The sequence below is a fragment of the Homo sapiens genome, chromosome 9, assembly GCF_000001405.40.
Source record: "Homo sapiens chromosome 9, GRCh38.p14 Primary Assembly".
NCBI lineage: Eukaryota > Metazoa > Chordata > Mammalia > Primates > Hominidae > Homo > Homo sapiens.
The window spans coordinates 114,629,980-114,647,844 of record NC_000009.12 but is presented as its reverse complement, the minus strand read 5'-3'; the positions used below and the strand labels follow the sequence as shown (position 1 = coordinate 114,647,844).

Sequence of the window (17,865 nt, the reverse complement as noted above, 5' to 3'; positions counted from 1 at the left end):
TCCCACTACAATCATAAACAAGGCAAGAATGTTCCCTCTTACCACTACTCTTCAACATCATACTGGAAGTCCAAGCCAATGAAATAGGACAAGAAAAGGAAATAAAAAGTATACAGATATACAGATGAGGAAGGAAGAAATAAAACTGTCTTTGTTTACAGGTGAGATGATTATCTCATCAACAAAAGAATCAACAAAGAAACTCCTAAAACTAATAAGAGATTATAGCAAGGTTGCAGGATACAATGTGAGTAGATAAAATTCAATCACTTTCCCATAACTAGCAATGAACAAATGAAATTTGAAACTAAATACACAATACTATTTTTATTAGCACCCCCAAAAATAAGATATTTAGGTATAAATCTTATAAATCTAACAAAATATGTACAAGATCTATAAGAAAAATTACCAAAAAAAAAAAAACTGTAGGAAAAGGGAAAAACCCCTACAAAACTGATAAAAGAAATCAAAGAACAACTAAATAAATGAAGACAGATTCTATGTTTGTGGATAGAAATCAATATTGTGAAAATGTCAGTTCTTGCAACTTGATCTATGGATTTGATGCAATCCCAATCAAAATAAACAGTGAGTTAGTTTGTGGATATTGACAAACTGATTCTAAAGTTTACATGGAAAGGCATAAGACACACAATAGCCAAATCAACATTGGGAGAGAAGAACTAAGTTGGAGGACTCACACTACCCAATTTCAAGACTTACTATAAAGCTACAGTAATCAAGACAGTGTGTTATTGGGAAAGAACAGACACATAGATCAATGGAACAAATAGAGAGCCCAGAAATAGACCCACATAAGTATAGTCAACTGATCCTTGAAAAAAAAAAAAAAAAAGCAAAGGCAATACAATGGAGCAAAGAGAGTCTTTTCAACAGATGGTGCTGGAACAATATGCAAAAAATTAATCCAGATGGAGACCTTACAACCTTCAGAAAAACTAACTCAAAATGAATCACAGACCTAAGTGTAAAAACACTCAACTATAAGATAACATAGGATAACATAAACTAGGAGCCAACAGCAGCCAGCAGCTGCAGAAGAAACGCCCCCACTGACTGAGCCCTTACTGTGGACCAGGCTTTGTGCTTCACATCAATCACTCCCGTTAATCCCCCTTATTATCACACTCCCCCCTTAATACATGAGGAAATTAGGTACAGAAAGTACAGTAAGAGTGAGTATCTGGCCCAAAGTCACCAGCTTGCTCTTTATCTCCTTGCTATATTATCTCTGGATGCTGAATTCCAGAGATTTGACTAAAATCTTTATTGACATAAATATACCCCATGGCACTGAAATAGCTGAGGTCTGAGGCAGACTGAATAACCTTAACGGTTAATGACCTGCTAGATCAACAAAAATATACATCAGGTATCTACAATATGCGAGACAAAAAATTTTTTAAGTAACAATTTATTGAGCTTTCACTCAAGTTTGGTATTCAAAGTTGCAAGCACTTGACATTTTTTTACACCATTTAATCCTTACAACAACCTGCCAGGTACATGCTCTTATTCCCATCCTATAGATGAGGAATGAGACTCAATGAGAGGAAGAACATTGTTTTTAAGTGGAAGAACTTGGATTAGAATAAACAGAACTCTAGAATCCATGCAATGAGTTACCACCTTCACTCTCACTCGAAGACATTGCACTGCCTACACCATGGCCACATCTATCACTAACACAGAGCCTTAAGACTTAGGAGCTGGCTGGGCATGGTAGTTCACACCTGTAATCCCAGCAGCATGGGAGGCCAAGGCAGGAGGATCACTTGAGGCCAGGAGTTCAAGACTAGGCTGGGTAACATAGCAAGACCTTATCTCTCTGAAAAAATTACATTTAAAAAAAAATAAATAAAAATTAAATAAAATTTAAAAACTGATGAGCATTCCTGTGTGTAGTATGCGATCTTCACAGCAACCCTGTAAAGTAGGTGAGACAGAGATCATAGGGATTTTATAAATGAGGAAACTGAGGCACAGATGCCGAGAAATGTACATTGTGGGCATACCCTGAAAGCCCCACCCACCAGGTGAGACCATCAAAAATTCTAAAGAAAGGAAAAGTCAGGAAAAGAAACACACATCAAAGGCTCTCAAGCAGACCTTACAATTGAAAAACTGCTGCTTTGTCATTTAACAAACACATTTTTATTCTCTGTTAATTACTTACCGGGGTTCTAGGACTGACTGAGAAATACGGGCTTCTTTCTATTGGTCACATTCACAGCCAACATTTCCTCTGTGCCAGGTCAGAAAGACAGTGGTCACCTTCGTGAATAATTTCCTTGAGCAAAGCTGCTCTCAGCCTTGACCAAAGCAGCCTTTCCAGGGGCTGGTCTATACCCATGATCTCTCTTCTCTGGCACACAGAAAGTGAATGGTCAGACTCATCTCTTGAATGGCAAGCCACGTGTTTATTACATTTCTTGTTCACCAGACCCACTTTATTAAAAAGCGAAATGACAATCAGAAAGGTTAAGTGACTTAGCCAAGGTCACACAACTTGGAAGCAGCAGATCAGGAAGAAAAATCCAGGTCTGCTAGGTAGGCCAGTCTTCTGTCCAAGGGTGTCCTAGGACCAGGTCATCTCAGCCATGTGGGGTTGCCAGATGTTTCTGCATGTGGATAAAGATAGATAGGCCAAGGGCTATGAGGGGGCAGAATAAGCTAGAAATTCCCAGAACTTTGGTCCTAGAAGGGCCCTTAAGAATCATCCAGGCTGGTTGTGGTGCCTCACGTCTGTAATCCCAGCACTTTGGGAGCCCGAGGCGGGTGGATCACCTGAGGTCAGGAGTTCAAGACCAGCTTGGCCAACATGGCGAAACCCCATCTCTACTAAAAACACAAAAAAATATCCAGGAGTAGTGGTGCACACCTGTAGTCCCAGCTACTTGGGAGGCTGAGGCATGAGAATCACTTGAACCTAGGTGGCGGGGGTTGCAGTGAGCCAAGATCGCGCCACTGCACTCCAGCCTGGGTGACAGTGCAAGACTCCATCTCAATTAAAAAAAAAAAAATCATCCAATCCACCCATTATATTGATGGGCAAACTGAGGACCAGGCAAAGAAAGCAACTTGCCAAAAATTACACAGCTTGAAGTGGCAGATCAGGTCCAGAACCCAGGTCCACAGCAATGTCATCATTCAAGTGAGTTTGGAAAGCAATTTGCAAAAGCTGCTGTGGGGATGGCAAAGCAATCAATCCACAAGATTTTTTTTTCCTTAGCAGGTCCAGGTCATGCACAAAAAGTACAAGGTGTAGTCTCTGTCCTTAAGGAGTTTACAGTCTAGCTAGAAAAACTGGCATATACACAGGAAAACAGAATCAATACCATAAAACATCAGAACAAGCAGCAGCTGTATCAAGAATTTAAAGGAGGCAGAGAGCAGCAGGGTTGGCTGTGTGGGAAGGCTTCCTAAAGAAGGGCTTAAGAAAGCTGGACTTTGAAGCATGAATAGGAGTCCAACAAATGGAAAGGAATAGGTATGTCAGTCCAGGAAAGAGCGTGAACTCATAAAGGGGTTTTGTGGGAGATGAAGCCAAAATCGCAGACAAAGGCTAGGTCTTGGGGGCTGGGGATCCTTTAGATGCGTTTGGTCTTGGGTCTATGAAACAATAGGTCTTCAAACTTGTTCAGGAGCAGATCACTTGGAAGCCTCTGAGCTCTTCAAAGAATTCCACAAGTGGCTGATCACACTTCATTCCAGGACAATGTTCATGTCGGGAAACATAACCATTGTTCTACATCTGTAATATAAAACCACAACCACAAGCGTGCATGCCTGTGAACAAAATAAGTCCTCAAGTCAAACAGGATCAATCTTTCTCAAATATTCCTATCAACAGTTATCTGCCCTTGATCTCTTTCTTCTGTCTCTGTCTTCTGCAGCCTGTGTACTGGTAGACAACACGTACACATACCACTGCTTTTCACAAAATATGGGGGAGAAAAACTTAAAAATTGAGAGAATTCTGAAAACTTACTTTTTTTCTTTATATTGGAAAAAGGAAGTCTGATAATTTTAGGGGTTCAAGGCAATGCCACATAGAGCAGTATCCTCTCTGAGCCTCAGTTTCCCCATCTGGCATGAAGGGGTTGGAGATGGAAACATCATCTGAGGCCAAGTTTTGGACACATAATTTGCCCAGTCTGGTCATCTTCATGTCTCCTGGGTTCTCTGAACAATGAAAGCAATGGGGGTCCAGTCTTTCCATACGTGTCCACAGTTCTAAGCAGCAGAGAGAGTAGCTTTGGTGGGACTAGCTCTGTAACCATCAGCTTCTGCAAAGGCCAGGGGGTCAGCATGAGATGTCAAACAAGGATTTTTGTGCTGGGCCCTGAAGTGAGCACAACACCCCAGTGGCTGACATCACAGGCCCCTTTTGGAGTGCCCCCAGATGCTTCTCTCCTCACCTGGGGCTCCCCATTGGCCATCTTGGGCTCCTGAAGCCTTCCTGACTGCTCAGTCTTGAAGGAAGATGAGTACCTTCATCCCTAGGTCACCTCGCCAGGAACGGGCAGCACCCTGTGCCTAGGATGTAGGCTTCTATGAGCTGGCAGGGGCATGGAATTCTCGGAGAGTTCGTGTGTCGTGTCCCCATTGCCTGAGGGAGCTGGGAGGTCACTAGAAGCCGGATGTAGTAGCCGCCAAACACTGCCAGCAGCTGGCGGGCCATTTCCTAGAAGAGGCAGGGAAGCAGATTGAATACCACAGGGGAGCCCCTTGAGGAAAAAGGGCTTAGGCACCAGGGGAAGGACATGCTGCTTTCTTGCCCCTGGACCCAGCAGTGATGCTCTCTAGGAAGAACCAGGCCAGGTCAGCACCTAGGACTCTCAGAAGATGCCAGCCTGGTCCAGAAGCCCAGTTCTGCAACTCATGGCCTGTGGGGCTCCTGCAGCCTCAATGTCCTCGTTGCCAAGGTGAGTAACTAACTGCTGAATGGCAATAATAATACGCACAAAAAAAATATGCAACCTCGAAGCCCTAGAGAAATTACCAAATTTCTAATTATCTAATTTTTTAAGCCTAGCTGGCCAGGCATGGTTGTTCAAACCTGTAATCCCAGCACTTTGGGAGGCCGAGGTAGGAAGATCACTTGAGGTCAGGAGTTTGAGACCAGCCTGGGCAACAGAGCGAGACTCTGTCTCTACAAAAATAAAATTAAAATTAAAAATATATTTTAAAAATATAAAAAGAAAGTAAACCTAGCCAGCCACAAATACATTTTTTCCACTTTCAAATGTCTATGAGTCTGTAAAGTACATGAGATCAAAGTGACTCACTTGAAGAAAATTACTAGTTAAATGTGGAGGTGGGGAGAGGAATATTCCCATTATAGCAGAATTAGTTAATTCATACAAGGTACCTGGTAGATTTCTTTACACAAGTACTCCTAACATATTAAAAGAAACTGCTTACATTTAAATATGATCACTGACAGTAAAAAAAAAGAAAGAAAAACATAAAAAAGGGAAAAAAGAGATTGCTTATAAAAATTAGGTTTATCACAAAAGGACATGTACTGTATGATTCCACTAATAGGAGGCACCTAGAGTAATCAGTTCACAGGGAGAGAAAGTAAAATGGTGGTTTCTAGGGGTTGAGGGTGGGGAGGAAGGAGGGAAGGGGAAGTTAGTGTTTAATGAGCACAGAGCTTCAATTTGGGAAGAGGAAAACATTCTGCAGATGGCTGATGGTGATGGTTGCATAACGATGTGAATGTACCTCATGCTGCTGAACTATATACTTAAAATGGTTAAGATGGTACATTTTATATTATGTATATTTGCCACAATAAAACAATTTTAAGTAAAAAAGGATTAAAAAATTGAATGTAATGTACTTTTTTTTTTCTTTTTTAAAGACACAGTACAGCCGGGTACAGTGGCTCATGCCTGTAATCCCAGCACTTTGAGAGGCCAAGGCAGGAGAGATTACTTGAGGTCAGGAGTTCAAGACCAGCCTGTCAACATGGTGAAACCCCGTCTCTACTAAAAACACAAAAAAAATTTAGCCAGGTGTGGTGGCACATGCCTGTAATCCCAGCTATTTGGGAGGTTGAGGCAGGAGAATCACTTGAACCCGGAGGCAGAGGTTGCAGTGAGCCAAGATGGCGCCATTGCACTCCAGCCTGGGCAAAAAGAGCAAAACTCCGTTTCAAAAAAAAAAGACATGTGATCTTACTATGTTGCTCAGGCTGGTCTTGAACTCCTGGGCTCCTGCCTTGGCCTCCCTACAGTGTTGGGATTACAGGCGTGAGCCACGGCGCTAGGCCTTAATGCACATTCTTATTAACACAGTTGGTCTGTAAAGATCCATTCACTGGTCTAGAAGATGGGATCTCAGGGGAAATGCTTAACTTCCTTAAGCATGGGGTTGAAGCTCTTTTGCAATACTTGTGTCCACTCTGAATGTAATGAAATGAAGTGTGGGTTACGCTAGGTATGTCTGTAGAGTTAGTAATTAAGGATAGGCTTTAAAGTCAAAAAGGCCAAGAGGGAGTTTCAACTCAGCCACTCTATGACTAACCCAGAGCAGTCACTTCACATTACTGAGCCCATTTCTTCATTGGTAGAATAAGGAAAATAGTGGCACTGACCCCTCTAAGTTACAGTGAGGATTAAAGAGACTAATAGAGGCCGGGCGCGGTGGCTCACACCTGTAATCCTAGCACTTTGGGAGGCCGAGGCAGGTGGATCATCTGAGGTCAAGAGTTCAAGACCAGCCTGGCCAACATGGTGAAAACCCATCTCTACTAAAAATACAAAAATTAGCCAGCCATCATGGCAGACGCCTGTAATCCTAGCTACTTGGGAGGCTGAGGCAGGAGGATTGCTTGAACCTGGGAGATGGAGTTTGCAGTGAGCGGAGATCACACCACTTCACTCTAGCCTGGGCAAAAGAGCAAAACTCCCTCTCGAAAAAAAAAAAGAGAGAGAGAGAGACTAATAGACAGAAAGCATTGAGCCCAGTGCCTAGTGCTCCACAAATGGCATCAATATCTTTCCATCATTATCACTCAAAAAAGCAGAAACCCCACATGGTTCATAAGATTAGCTTTTGTTTCAAGTTATCCTTTGTGCTAGAAAATATAAAACACTTCAAATAGTTTACCACTCACTAACTCAGATTGGTCTTCTCGCCAGTTTACTCTAAAATCAATAATGTAAGAAGCAAGGAACTGTAGCAAGAACACTGGCCTACTTAGAATCAGCAGGGCTGGCTTCTGCCATGGGCTTACTGCACTCTCCCTTTCTGGCAACCTTGGGCCAGTCAGCTGACCTCTTGGAACCTTATTTCACCCACCAAGGAAAAAGGGAAAATAATTCATACCTCGAAGAGTATGCTAATGAATTTTATGCATGAGAAAAATCTGTAAAAATGTAAGAGGTCATTATCGCTATCTTTCCATCTTTTACAGACACTAGGTTCCTACTGAAATGTGACCATCTGGCCCAGGTTGAGACTTGGGCATCGATTATATTTTCATTAACTAAATTATAAGGGCAGCTACTTTAAAAACATGTGCACACACTTGATACTCATGATAGGAAATTATATTACTATTGGTTTGAGTAAATCTAAAAATAATCACTTAAAAGACCCATATTTAAAGGGCTATTGCACAAAAACCCACACACGCATGTCACAAGAAAGTACACAACCTTATCAATCTCTTCTCTTTAAAAAAAAAAAAAGTCAATAGGATAAAGTGAAGAGGTTAATACAGTTATCATTTCTCTCTTTTTTTTTTTTAATATTTTGGCAGGGCACAGTGCTCACACCTGTGATCCTAACACTTTGGGAGGATGAAGCGGGTGGATCGCTTGAGCTCAGGAGTTCAAGACAAGCCTTGGCAACATGGTAAAACCCCGTCTCTAAATAAAAATTTAAAAATTAATATAAAAAGATAAAAGATTTTAATAGAGGCCGGGCATGGTGGCTCATGCCTGTAATCCTAGGACTTTGGGAGGCTGAGGCGGAAGGATCAACTTGAACTCCTGGACTCAAATGATCCTCGCGCCTCAGCCTCCCAAAGTGCTGGGATTACAGGCACGAGCCACCGCATGTTCCTGTCATTTTCTCTTTTAAATAGTACTACTTGCAGGCTTCCTACTGCCCACCAGCACAAAAGAGTAAGCCTGGACTGGTTTGGACCTTGAATCCCCAAATCTCTTGGCTGAAAAGATATAAGTGCTCTTCTGAAGTTTCAAATGTCACCTGAGGTCACCATCACTGCTTGTCTCCCTGACAGTGGGTCTGTCCTCATCATGAGAAGAAGGTAAGCACAAGCTGCACATTTTCAGAATTCTGGTCTGCCAGTGCTTAGCCATAGCCAAGAGACAGTGTGGATGGCAGGACCCAACAGAACTCTGGGGCTGCAGGAACTGAAATTCAACAGAAATGCAAAGAAGTGGGAGGTTGAGGTGGGTAGATCTCTTGAGCCCAGGAGTTGGAGACCAGCCTGGGCAACATGGCAAAACCCTGCCTCTAATAAAAATACAAAAAATTAGCCAGGTGTGGTGGCACATGCCTACAGTCCCAACTACTCAGGAGACTAAGGTGGGAGGATTGCTTGAACCTGGGAAGTTGAGGCCATAATGAGCAGTGATCACACCACTGCACCCCAGCCTGGGTGACGGGAGTGAGACCCTGTTCTAAACAAAAAAAAATTCAAAGAAGAGTCAACTGTCTAACTGCAATTAAAGTAGATGGATGAATGGTTGGATAGATGAATAAATAATTGATTGACTGAGACCCAAATGTTCATCAGTATGTTCATGGTTAAGTAAGCTATAATCTATCAACATGCAACTACCCATCCAATGCAACCATCAAAAAGAATATCCAAGATATTAAATAATGCAACAAAAAGTCCCAATAAATATAAAATGCTTCCTGTTAACTATCTTTTTAAGTGCTAGGGTGAAGAATGAAAAGATTGAAAACTCCTGAGCTAGATTTGTGTGGTGTCTACTAACTGAGAGAAGCATGTCTTGGGGAATCTAAGAAGCCCCCACATAGGCTTTCTCTATGCAAATTCCCCCGAGGGAAGATGGCCCCAACAAGCCCCAGTGCCTGTTACCTCCGGCTCAGCCTCAGGAACAAGCTGATGAAGCTCAGTCTGCATGAGTGGCCTCTCGTTAGGACAAGAATTGCCGGGCAGGAGAGGAGCATCCTCCAAGTTCTCAGGCCCCTCCGCTGTTGCAGGGCTCACCCCAGTCTCCATGACAACACACAACTGGCTCAATCTGCTTCTCAGCAAGGACTGCAAAGGAAACAGAGAAGGGGCTCAGGAGTGCCTAAATCAGGTGGTATCTGCGAGGCTGAGTCCCTCCCCAAGCTGCAGACCGAGCAGAAGATGAGGTCTCAGACTCAGATGATGACCTCAGAAAAAGCTGGTCGCATTCGGGATATTACATAATTCCCTACAGATGGTCATTAATAGCTCTAAATATTTTTCCTTTTATAACCAGGCATGGTGGCTCATGCCTGTAATCCCAGCACTTTGGGAGGCCAAGGCAGAGGGATCACTTGAGACTAGGAGTTCAAGACCGGCCTGGCCAATATGGTGAAACCCAGTCACCACTAAAAATACAAAAATTAGCCTGGTGTGGTGGCACGCACCTGTAGTCCCAGCTACTCAGGAGGCTGAGGCATGAGAATCGCTTGAACCTGGGAGGCAGAGGTTGCAGTGTGTCAAGATGGCGCCACTGCACTCCAGCCTGGGTGACACAGCAAGACTCTGCCTCAAAACAAACAAACAAATATTTTTCCTCTCATGCTCTCACTTGCTCAAAGCAGCCTGGGATGTGGGTATCTTTATCCATATGTTGCAAATGAATAAACTGAGACTCAAAGGCCCTGCCTGAGGCCACACAGGAACTAATGAGCCAAATTCAGGGCTAAGTCACAACTCTGACTTCAAGACTCACTGCAGCCGGGGCTCAGAAAAGGCTAATCCTAGAGAAGGAGCCCAGGGCTTGGAGACAGGAGGCCTGGCCTCCAAACCTGGGCATCACCAGCCAGCTCCATGACCACAGGCCGGTAACAGGTCATCCCGGAGCCTGTTTCCTCCTCTGTAGAAGCAGAGCAAGATCCCTCTGATTTTCTTAATAAACGGTAGAAAGGCACTGTGAACAAGTAAAAGTTGCCTCAATGCATGATACTTTGGAATCCACCAAAATTTATTAATATTATAATTATAAAGAAATATATGGCCGGGCGTGGTGGCTCACACCTGTAATCCCAGCACTTTGGGAGGCCAAGGCAGACGGATCACCTGAGGTCAGGAGTTTAAGACTAGCCTGGCCAACATGGTGAAACCCCGTCTCTACTAAAAATACAACAAATTAGCCAGGTGTGATGGCAGGCACCTGTAATTCCAGCTACTCCGGAGGCTGAGGCAGGAGAATCGCTTGAACCCACGAAGCGAAGGCTGCAGTGAGCAGAGATCACTCTACTGCACTCCAGTCTGGGCAACTGAGTGAAACTCTGTCTCAGGAAAAAAAAAAAAAAAAAAAGAAGAAATATATGCTCACCATAGGAAATGTAGAAGAAGCGAGGCATTAAAAAGAAGCAGAAAAGCAGCCATAATTCCCTAGGCAAAACAACCACTGATTGCTCGTAGGTATTCTTCCAAGTAACTTTTTCTCAGACATTTTCCCACCCTTAAGATAATGAAATCGATACAACTTGGCCTCCTGGTTTTTGTTTTGTTTTTTCACTGAAGATATCTTACCTCTTGGCTAGTCTTCATTTCTTGAACATGATCAGACAAAAACTGCACACAGTTCTCCAGGTCGAAGTAGACAAACCAAAGCTGTGGGGAGAAGCAGCAGTGACCACCGTGGCTCAAGGGCAGCCCAACCCTGAACTCTTCCTCCCTGAGACAGTCCTATTTAGCCTGCTGTCTGGCAGGAAGGTGCCATTTGGCACCATGACAATGTCTCATTTGTATGGTTGGTAGAAAAATGGCTTTGTGTGCACGTTTAGAAAAGGTCAAACCCTAGGCCAGATGCAGTGGCTCACACCTGTAATCCCAGCACTGTGGGAGGCCGAGGCAGGCAGATCACTTGAGGCCAGGAGTTCAAGACCAGCCTGGCCAACATGGTGAAACCCATCTCTACAAAAAATACAAAAAATTAGCTGGGTGTGGTGGTGGACACCTGTAATCCCAGCTACTCAGGAGCCTGAGGCACAAGAATCACTTGAACCTGGGAGGTGAAGGTTGCAGTAAGCCAAGATCACACCACTGCACTCCAGCCTGGGTGACAGAGAAAGACTCTGTCTGAAAAGAAAAGAAAGAAAAGAAAAGAAAAGAAAAAGTTAAACCCTGTTCAAAATGGCTGCGGCCCCATTTCCCACAAGCTGCTGAGCATCCCAGACAGACTCCGAACCCTCCTGGACATCACCTGTCCACCTGAGGCTACCTTCATCCTCAATGGGCGGGGCGTGAACATGCAAATGAGTGAAACCCTTCAGAGCTGACACCTGTGGCCCACAACCAGGTCTGAGGTAATCAACCTGGTTGCCTGTGGGGACAGAAGCAGGGTGAGAAGTCCGTACCCCACCTGTGCCTCCCCTTCCACCCCAGGGGCCGGCCAAGCTAAATTTAACCAGGCTGAAATCTTCCACATTCACATTACGACAACCTGTCAAGACCACAGCTGCCACACATCCTAATTGAAGTTCTTGGAGAAACTGGTGGCCCTTGCCCCAAACTCCCATCCACTGGCCACCTCCTCTGGTTCCCAGACCTCCTTCCTCCCACTGACTGACCCATGAGACCCAAAGTCACAGCCTTCTTGCCAACTAGTCTCCCAATGTCATACCCACAAGGGAGGATTTCTCAAATGGTTCCTTTAAAGCTTTTTACTATGAAAATTTCCTAGCATATTCAGAAGTAGATGACAGCAACCCATCCTCCCGCTGCAACTGTTAGGTCACCTCATGGCCACTCTTGGTTCATCTCCATCCTCACTCGGTACCCGTCCCCAACACCCCAACCTCCACTGCACCCCCCAGTGAATCTGAAGGACATGCCAGATAGTGTATCACCTCATCCCAAGATACTATTTAGAAACTGAAAGACTCAAGTTGTCTAAAAAGATGTGTCCATTCTTTTTTTTTTGAGACAGGGTCTCACTCTGGCACCCAGGCTGGAGCGCAGTGGCGCGATCACAGCTCACTGCAGCCTTGACATCCCGCGCTCAGGTGATCCTCCCACCTCAGCCTTCCAAGTAGCTGGGACTACAGGCATGCGACACCATGCCCAGCTAGTTTTTGTACTCTTTGTAGAAACAGAGTTTGCCATGTTGCCCAGGCTGCTGGTGTTGAACTCTTAGATTCAAGCAATCCACCTGCCTCAGCCTCCCAAAGTGCTAGGATTATAGGGGTGAGCCACTGAGCCCACCTGATGTGTCTCTTTTTTGTTTTGTTTTGTTTTTATTTTTTTTTTTTGAGATGGAGTCTCGCTCTGTTGCCCAGGCTGGAGTGTGGAGTGCAATGGCACAATCTCAGCTCACTGCAACCTCTGCCTCCCGGGTTCAAGTGATTCTCCTGCCTCAGCCTCCCAAGTAGCTGGGACTACAGGCGCACACTGCCACGCCCTGCTAATTTTTTTATATTTTTAGTAGAGACGGGGTTTCACCACGTTGCCCAGGCTGGTTTCGAACTCCTGAGCTCAGGCAATCCATCCGCCTCAGCCTCCCAAAGTGCTGGGATTACAGATGTGAGCCACCACGCCCAGCCCATTCTTTAGTCATCTATCCATCCGTGCATTCATCTAACACATGTCAAGCCACTCCTACGTGCCAACGGATAAAGGAGATTCAAAGATAAACGAGGCTAAAAAGGACCCCCACATTCCAGGAGCTCCCAGTCTACAATGTCACACTTGAACTGCCGAGAATCTTGTGATGTCATCTGCTTCACTCCAATGATAGGCAAGATCATCTTATACCTACACCATCTTGGGTGTGATAGGCTCCACAAACATAGGGACCTGCATGTGTTCTCTGCTGCAGCCTCAATCCCTGGGACAGTGCCTGGTACACAATAGGCTCTCAATAAACATTCGTGGAGGAACTGAGGCAGGTGCATGAGGAGCCTCTTCCCAGGTCCCCCGTGCACACCTACCTCTGGGCTCCCACCAGGCAAGGGGCCATGACTGGTGAGAATGCAGATGTGGTGCCAAGGAGGTTTTGCAATTCCACTGGGCAGATCAGGCATGGATGGAGGAACAGGAGAGTTCAGCCAGGATCAGGAGATCTGGCCTAACTGTGTTCTGACCCACCCTGCCACGCCATACTAGTCACTTTCAGATCTCCCCCCAACCTTCGGGGCAAAGAGAATGACCAAGCCAGGCAAACAAGGCCTTCAGCATCTGACCTGCCTCTCCGGCCTCATCTCTCCCCGCTGTGTCACTCTGGTATAGCCCCAGCCATGGTGAGCTCCATGCAGCCCTTCAAAGGGACCCTGTGTACCTTGCCTCTCAGCCTTGTTGGGGGCTGTCCGTTTGCTATAAGGCCAGAGAGGCTACTGTTGACTGTCTCACTGTATGCCTGTCATCCTCTGCCAGGACAGGGACCTTGCATGGGCCCCTCAATGTCGCCAGTGTCCAACCGAGGGCACAGCACAGAGGAGGCTCCGTCTGCTGAATAAATGCCAGGTGAGCAGCAAGGTGTGGACATTATCTGTGCTTCCCTTCCAGCCCTGCCACGTGGAGGTTCCAGGCCACTGGTTACTGCACAGAGAAGGTGTCTTGAGGAAGAAACACCAGGGCAGGGAGGAAGGAAAGGGCTGCCAACAGCCATCTCATTAGCAGACTACTGCAAACACTGTGTAGGCTGGGAGAACATGAGGCCACTGCTCTCCATTAGCCCAACATAAAACTGGGCCATCAGGAAGAGGTAACTATGAGACACAGCACCTGAATCACACTCTGGCATCCTTCCACTGTGTCTGTCACCCCCAGCAGCACCCGGTGTCTCAGGAGGGCTCCATTGGCAGCTGCCAGCCTCAGGTCCGTGTTGGTGTTGGCCTGTAAGACAAACGCCAGGCCCATCACCAGACCTCCATGCTACTGGGGAGCTCCCAGGCTCTGGGCAGTAGAAACACACCATCCCACCCCCAGATGCCAAGGGACAATCCCCACCCTCAGGACTGTCCCATTTCCTCCCCTATTAAATGGTCGGGGGTGGAGGCAGTCACAGTGACTCATGCCTGTAATCCCAGTGTTTTGAGAGACTAAGGCAGGAGAATTTCTTGAAGCCAGGGGTTTGAGGCCAGCCTGGACAATGTAGCGAGATGCCGTCTCTATAAAAAATTGTTTAAAAATTAACTACGTGGGGCCAGGCGCGGTGGTTCACGCCTGTAATCCCAGCACTTTGGGAGGCCGAGGCAGGTGGATCACAAGGTCAGGAGTTCGAGACCAGCCTGGCCAACATGGTGAAACCCCTTCTCTACTAATAATACAAAAATTAGCTGGGCGTGGTGACACACACCTGTAGTCCCAGCTACTCGGGAGGCTGAGACAGGAGAATTGCTTGAACCCAGGAGGCAGAGGTTGCAGTGCACAGAGATCACGCCACTGCACTCCAGCCTGGGCAACAGAGTGAGACTCTGTCTCAAAAAAAAAAAAAAAAATTAACTAGGCATGTTAGCATCCACCTGTAGTCCCAACTACTTGGGAGGGTGAGGCGAGAGGATCACTTGAGCCCAGGAGTGTGAGGTTATAGTAAGCTATGATTGTGCCACTGCACTCCAGCCTAGGTGACAGAGTGAGACTCTATCTCTTAAAAATAAGGGAAGAAAAATAAAATGAGATGGGGGATAGTTGGAACAGTAAATTCAATAGTGTCAGACAGCCCTGGGATAAAGCCCAGCTCTGCTGCTTCCTAGCTATATGGCCCTGGACAAGGTATGTCCCTTCCCTGAACCTTATTTTCTTCAGTTGTAGAATAAAAGAATGTGTCTGCCTCCTAGGAATGGAGTGAGATTTCACTGAGATTGTGTGTAAAGTACTTAACCCAGGGCCTGGGACTCTGTCAAGGTTCATAAGATATTTGCGGAAGATGGGAGATCAAATGGGTTTGATCTGTTTGAGCTGACACATCAAATCTGTTGTGTAAGTGAAGCACTCACTCCATCTAGAAAGCACCTACTTTAAAGTACCTAACACAGCGCCTGGCCCTCAGGTGGGGCTCTGGGAATCAGCCTCCTGCTCTCCTACCCAAACCAATGGACGCCACGCATTCAGCTGGGAGAGTGGATGCTAAACAGGTGGGGGAGAAGAGGAGGGACAAGAGGACCCCAAATGCTGGTTTGGGGAAGTAAGCACAAGAGGACTTTCAGACTCAGTTAGAAGAGAGCAGCCTGATCAAGAATAATAGTTCTCAAAAGGGGCAGCACCCTGTAAGGGAGATTTTGGAAATGCAAGGAGGACCCTTTGGTTGTCACAGGGATGGGATGGACAGTGCTGGCACTTAGTGGATGAGGGCCAGGGGTTCTGAACCCATGCCTTCCACTGAAAGACATGTCCTATTAGAAACCATTCTGCATGTTCAAGACTGTCCCCTGGGCTGCCTGGATTCCAAATGTCCCACTGAGCATACATGCAGATAAAAAAAAATCTACTTAGAATTCTCTGGTCAGCCAACCTAACTCCAGTTTACATTTATACCTAAAGTGATTTTTTTTTTTTTTTTTTTGGAGACCTAGTCTCGCTCTGTCACCCAGGTTGGAATGCAGTGGTACGATCACAGCTCACTGCAGGCTTGACCTCCTGAGCTCAGATCTTCCTACCTCAGCCTCCCAAGCAGCTGGGACCACACATGCATGCCACCACACTCAGCTAACTTTTAAATTTTTTGTAGAGATCGAGTCTCACTATGTTGCCCAGGCTGGTCTCAAACTCCTAGGTTCAAGCAATTCTCCCACCTCAGCCTCCCAAAGTGCTGGGATTACAGACATGAGCCATCACGCCCAGCCACTTAACGTGATTGTTTGCATGAGTTTAATGTACACTGAATTTTCCAGGAATGCCTCTACTATGAAAATTGAGGAATAATTATATTTTGTTTTGCCTAGATCTGTAGTAAGAAGATTTGGATGTGGATTTGGATTTGATGTGGATTTCTTCCTTCTAGAAATCTGTATCACCAATAGTTCAATTCCTAACGTACCTCTCACTGCCCATATAACCTTGGGCAAATTACTAAACATCTCTGTGCCTCCATCTCCTTACCCCCAAATGGAGATAATAATGCCCCTACCTCAGAGGAGTATAATAAGGATGAAATGAGTTAATCCATGTAGAATAATTGAAAGAATTGAACACTTAACACATGTCAGCTGATAATATCACAGTGAGGATGACAGTGAACTTAAATCATTGTGTTTTCACTGTGCCATATTAGCCGCAAATATTTGTAGGAACTTGGAACTTCTCATGTGTCCTAGCAATGTGCCAGGACTTGCCTGCCTTTACAAACCAGCCAATCTTTTTTTTTTTTTTTTTTTTTTTTGAGGCAGGCTGGAGTATAATGTTGCCATCAGAGCTCACTGCAGCCTTGAACTCCTAGGCTCAAGCAATCCTCCCACCTCAGCCTCCCAGGACTATGGGCATGTGCCACCACACCCCGCTGATTTTATTTTTTGTAGAGACAGAGTCTCACAATGTTGCCTAGCCTGGTCTCAAACTCCTGGGCCCAAGTGATCCTCCCACCTGAGCCTCCCAAAGTACTGGGATTATAAGTGTGAGCCACCATGCCCGGCCCAAATCTTCCAATCCTGAGAAAGGCTAACAGTGAGCCAAAGGGAAAACAAGACAGTTATGCCAGACATTGATGCTCTCAAAGACATCAAGTAACAACAGAGAGGATGCTAACAGTAAGAGTGACAATGGTCAGGAAGAGGGGATCTGCATAGTCCTGAGTGACAAGGGATCCAGGGAGGAGGAGGTCCTGGAGCTGAGACCCAAAAGAAGACCTGAGAAGGGCTGTGTGGCCATGGACTGGTTACTTAACCTCTCTGAACTTCCGTTTCCTCACTGGCAAACAGAGTTAATAACAGTTAATACTTACAAAGCATTTACTTTACACCAGGTACTATTATAAACACTTTGTGTGTCTAAGTCATTTAATTCTCACAATAACCCTATGAGGGAGCTACAATTATTATCTCATGTTTTAGATGAGGAAACTGAGGCCCTGATAGATTAAGTAACTCACCCCAAGTTGCAGAGCTAGCAAATGGCGGCGGTATCCTGCCTCCTTATAAGGTTGTTGTTGGGCATAGACGTGAAGCCCCAAGCATACAGCATACAATAGGTGCTCATGAAATGATGGACATTATTAGGAAGAAAATAAGGAGTCTCCTAAATGAGCAGACAGTGATGATGGCATTGCCAGGATGCACCTGAGACCTCCATGCTGCACACAAGCCTTGCGCATTTTCTGGGATCTGTGCCTGGCACAGAGTAAGACCTGTCTTGGATGGATGGATGGATGGATGGATGGATGGATGGATAGATATATATTGTTGGAACAGTAAATTCAATAGTGTCAGTCCTGGGCCAGAGCCCAGCTCTGCTGTTTCCTGGCTGTGCGGCCCTGACAAGGTATGTCCTGGTACTATCAAGGGCTTCATAAATACCAGCTGAATAAAAGGAGGAAAGAAGAGACAGAGGCAGAGAGCCAAAGCAGGCATTCCCTCCACCATGTGAATTACATCCACATCCTCGAAGCACCTGTCAGGTGCCAATCTTTTTTGCTTGCTCCTGCTAACTAAAACAAAACACTTTGCTTCTTCCCCTCCCCAAGACAAAGT

General features: G+C 45.6%; 1 protein-coding gene across 19 annotated transcripts in view; it reads right to left on the bottom strand.

The window, feature by feature from the left end:
• Positions 1-1,422: 1,422 nt before the first annotated feature.
• Positions 1,423-17,865, bottom strand: part of TMEM268 (transmembrane protein 268) — a 42,519-nt gene continuing 26,076 nt past the window's right edge. For 10 of the 19 annotated variants that reach the window (XM_011518351.3, XM_047422925.1, XM_011518350.2 and 7 more), the window contains 4 exons: positions 13,967-14,077; positions 10,775-10,855; positions 9,119-9,301; positions 1,423-4,711 (listed from right to left, as the gene is read on the bottom strand). In XM_011518351.3, the coding sequence (XP_011516653.1) occupies positions 4,532-4,711; positions 9,119-9,301; positions 10,775-10,855; positions 13,967-14,077 (555 nt within the window). In that variant the 3' untranslated portion in view covers positions 1,423-4,531. The remainder of the gene's footprint in view (positions 4,712-9,118; positions 9,302-10,774; positions 10,856-13,966; positions 14,078-17,865) is intronic. The other 9 variants (XM_011518353.2, XM_047422923.1, XM_047422927.1 and 6 more) reach the window with 2 other exon arrangements.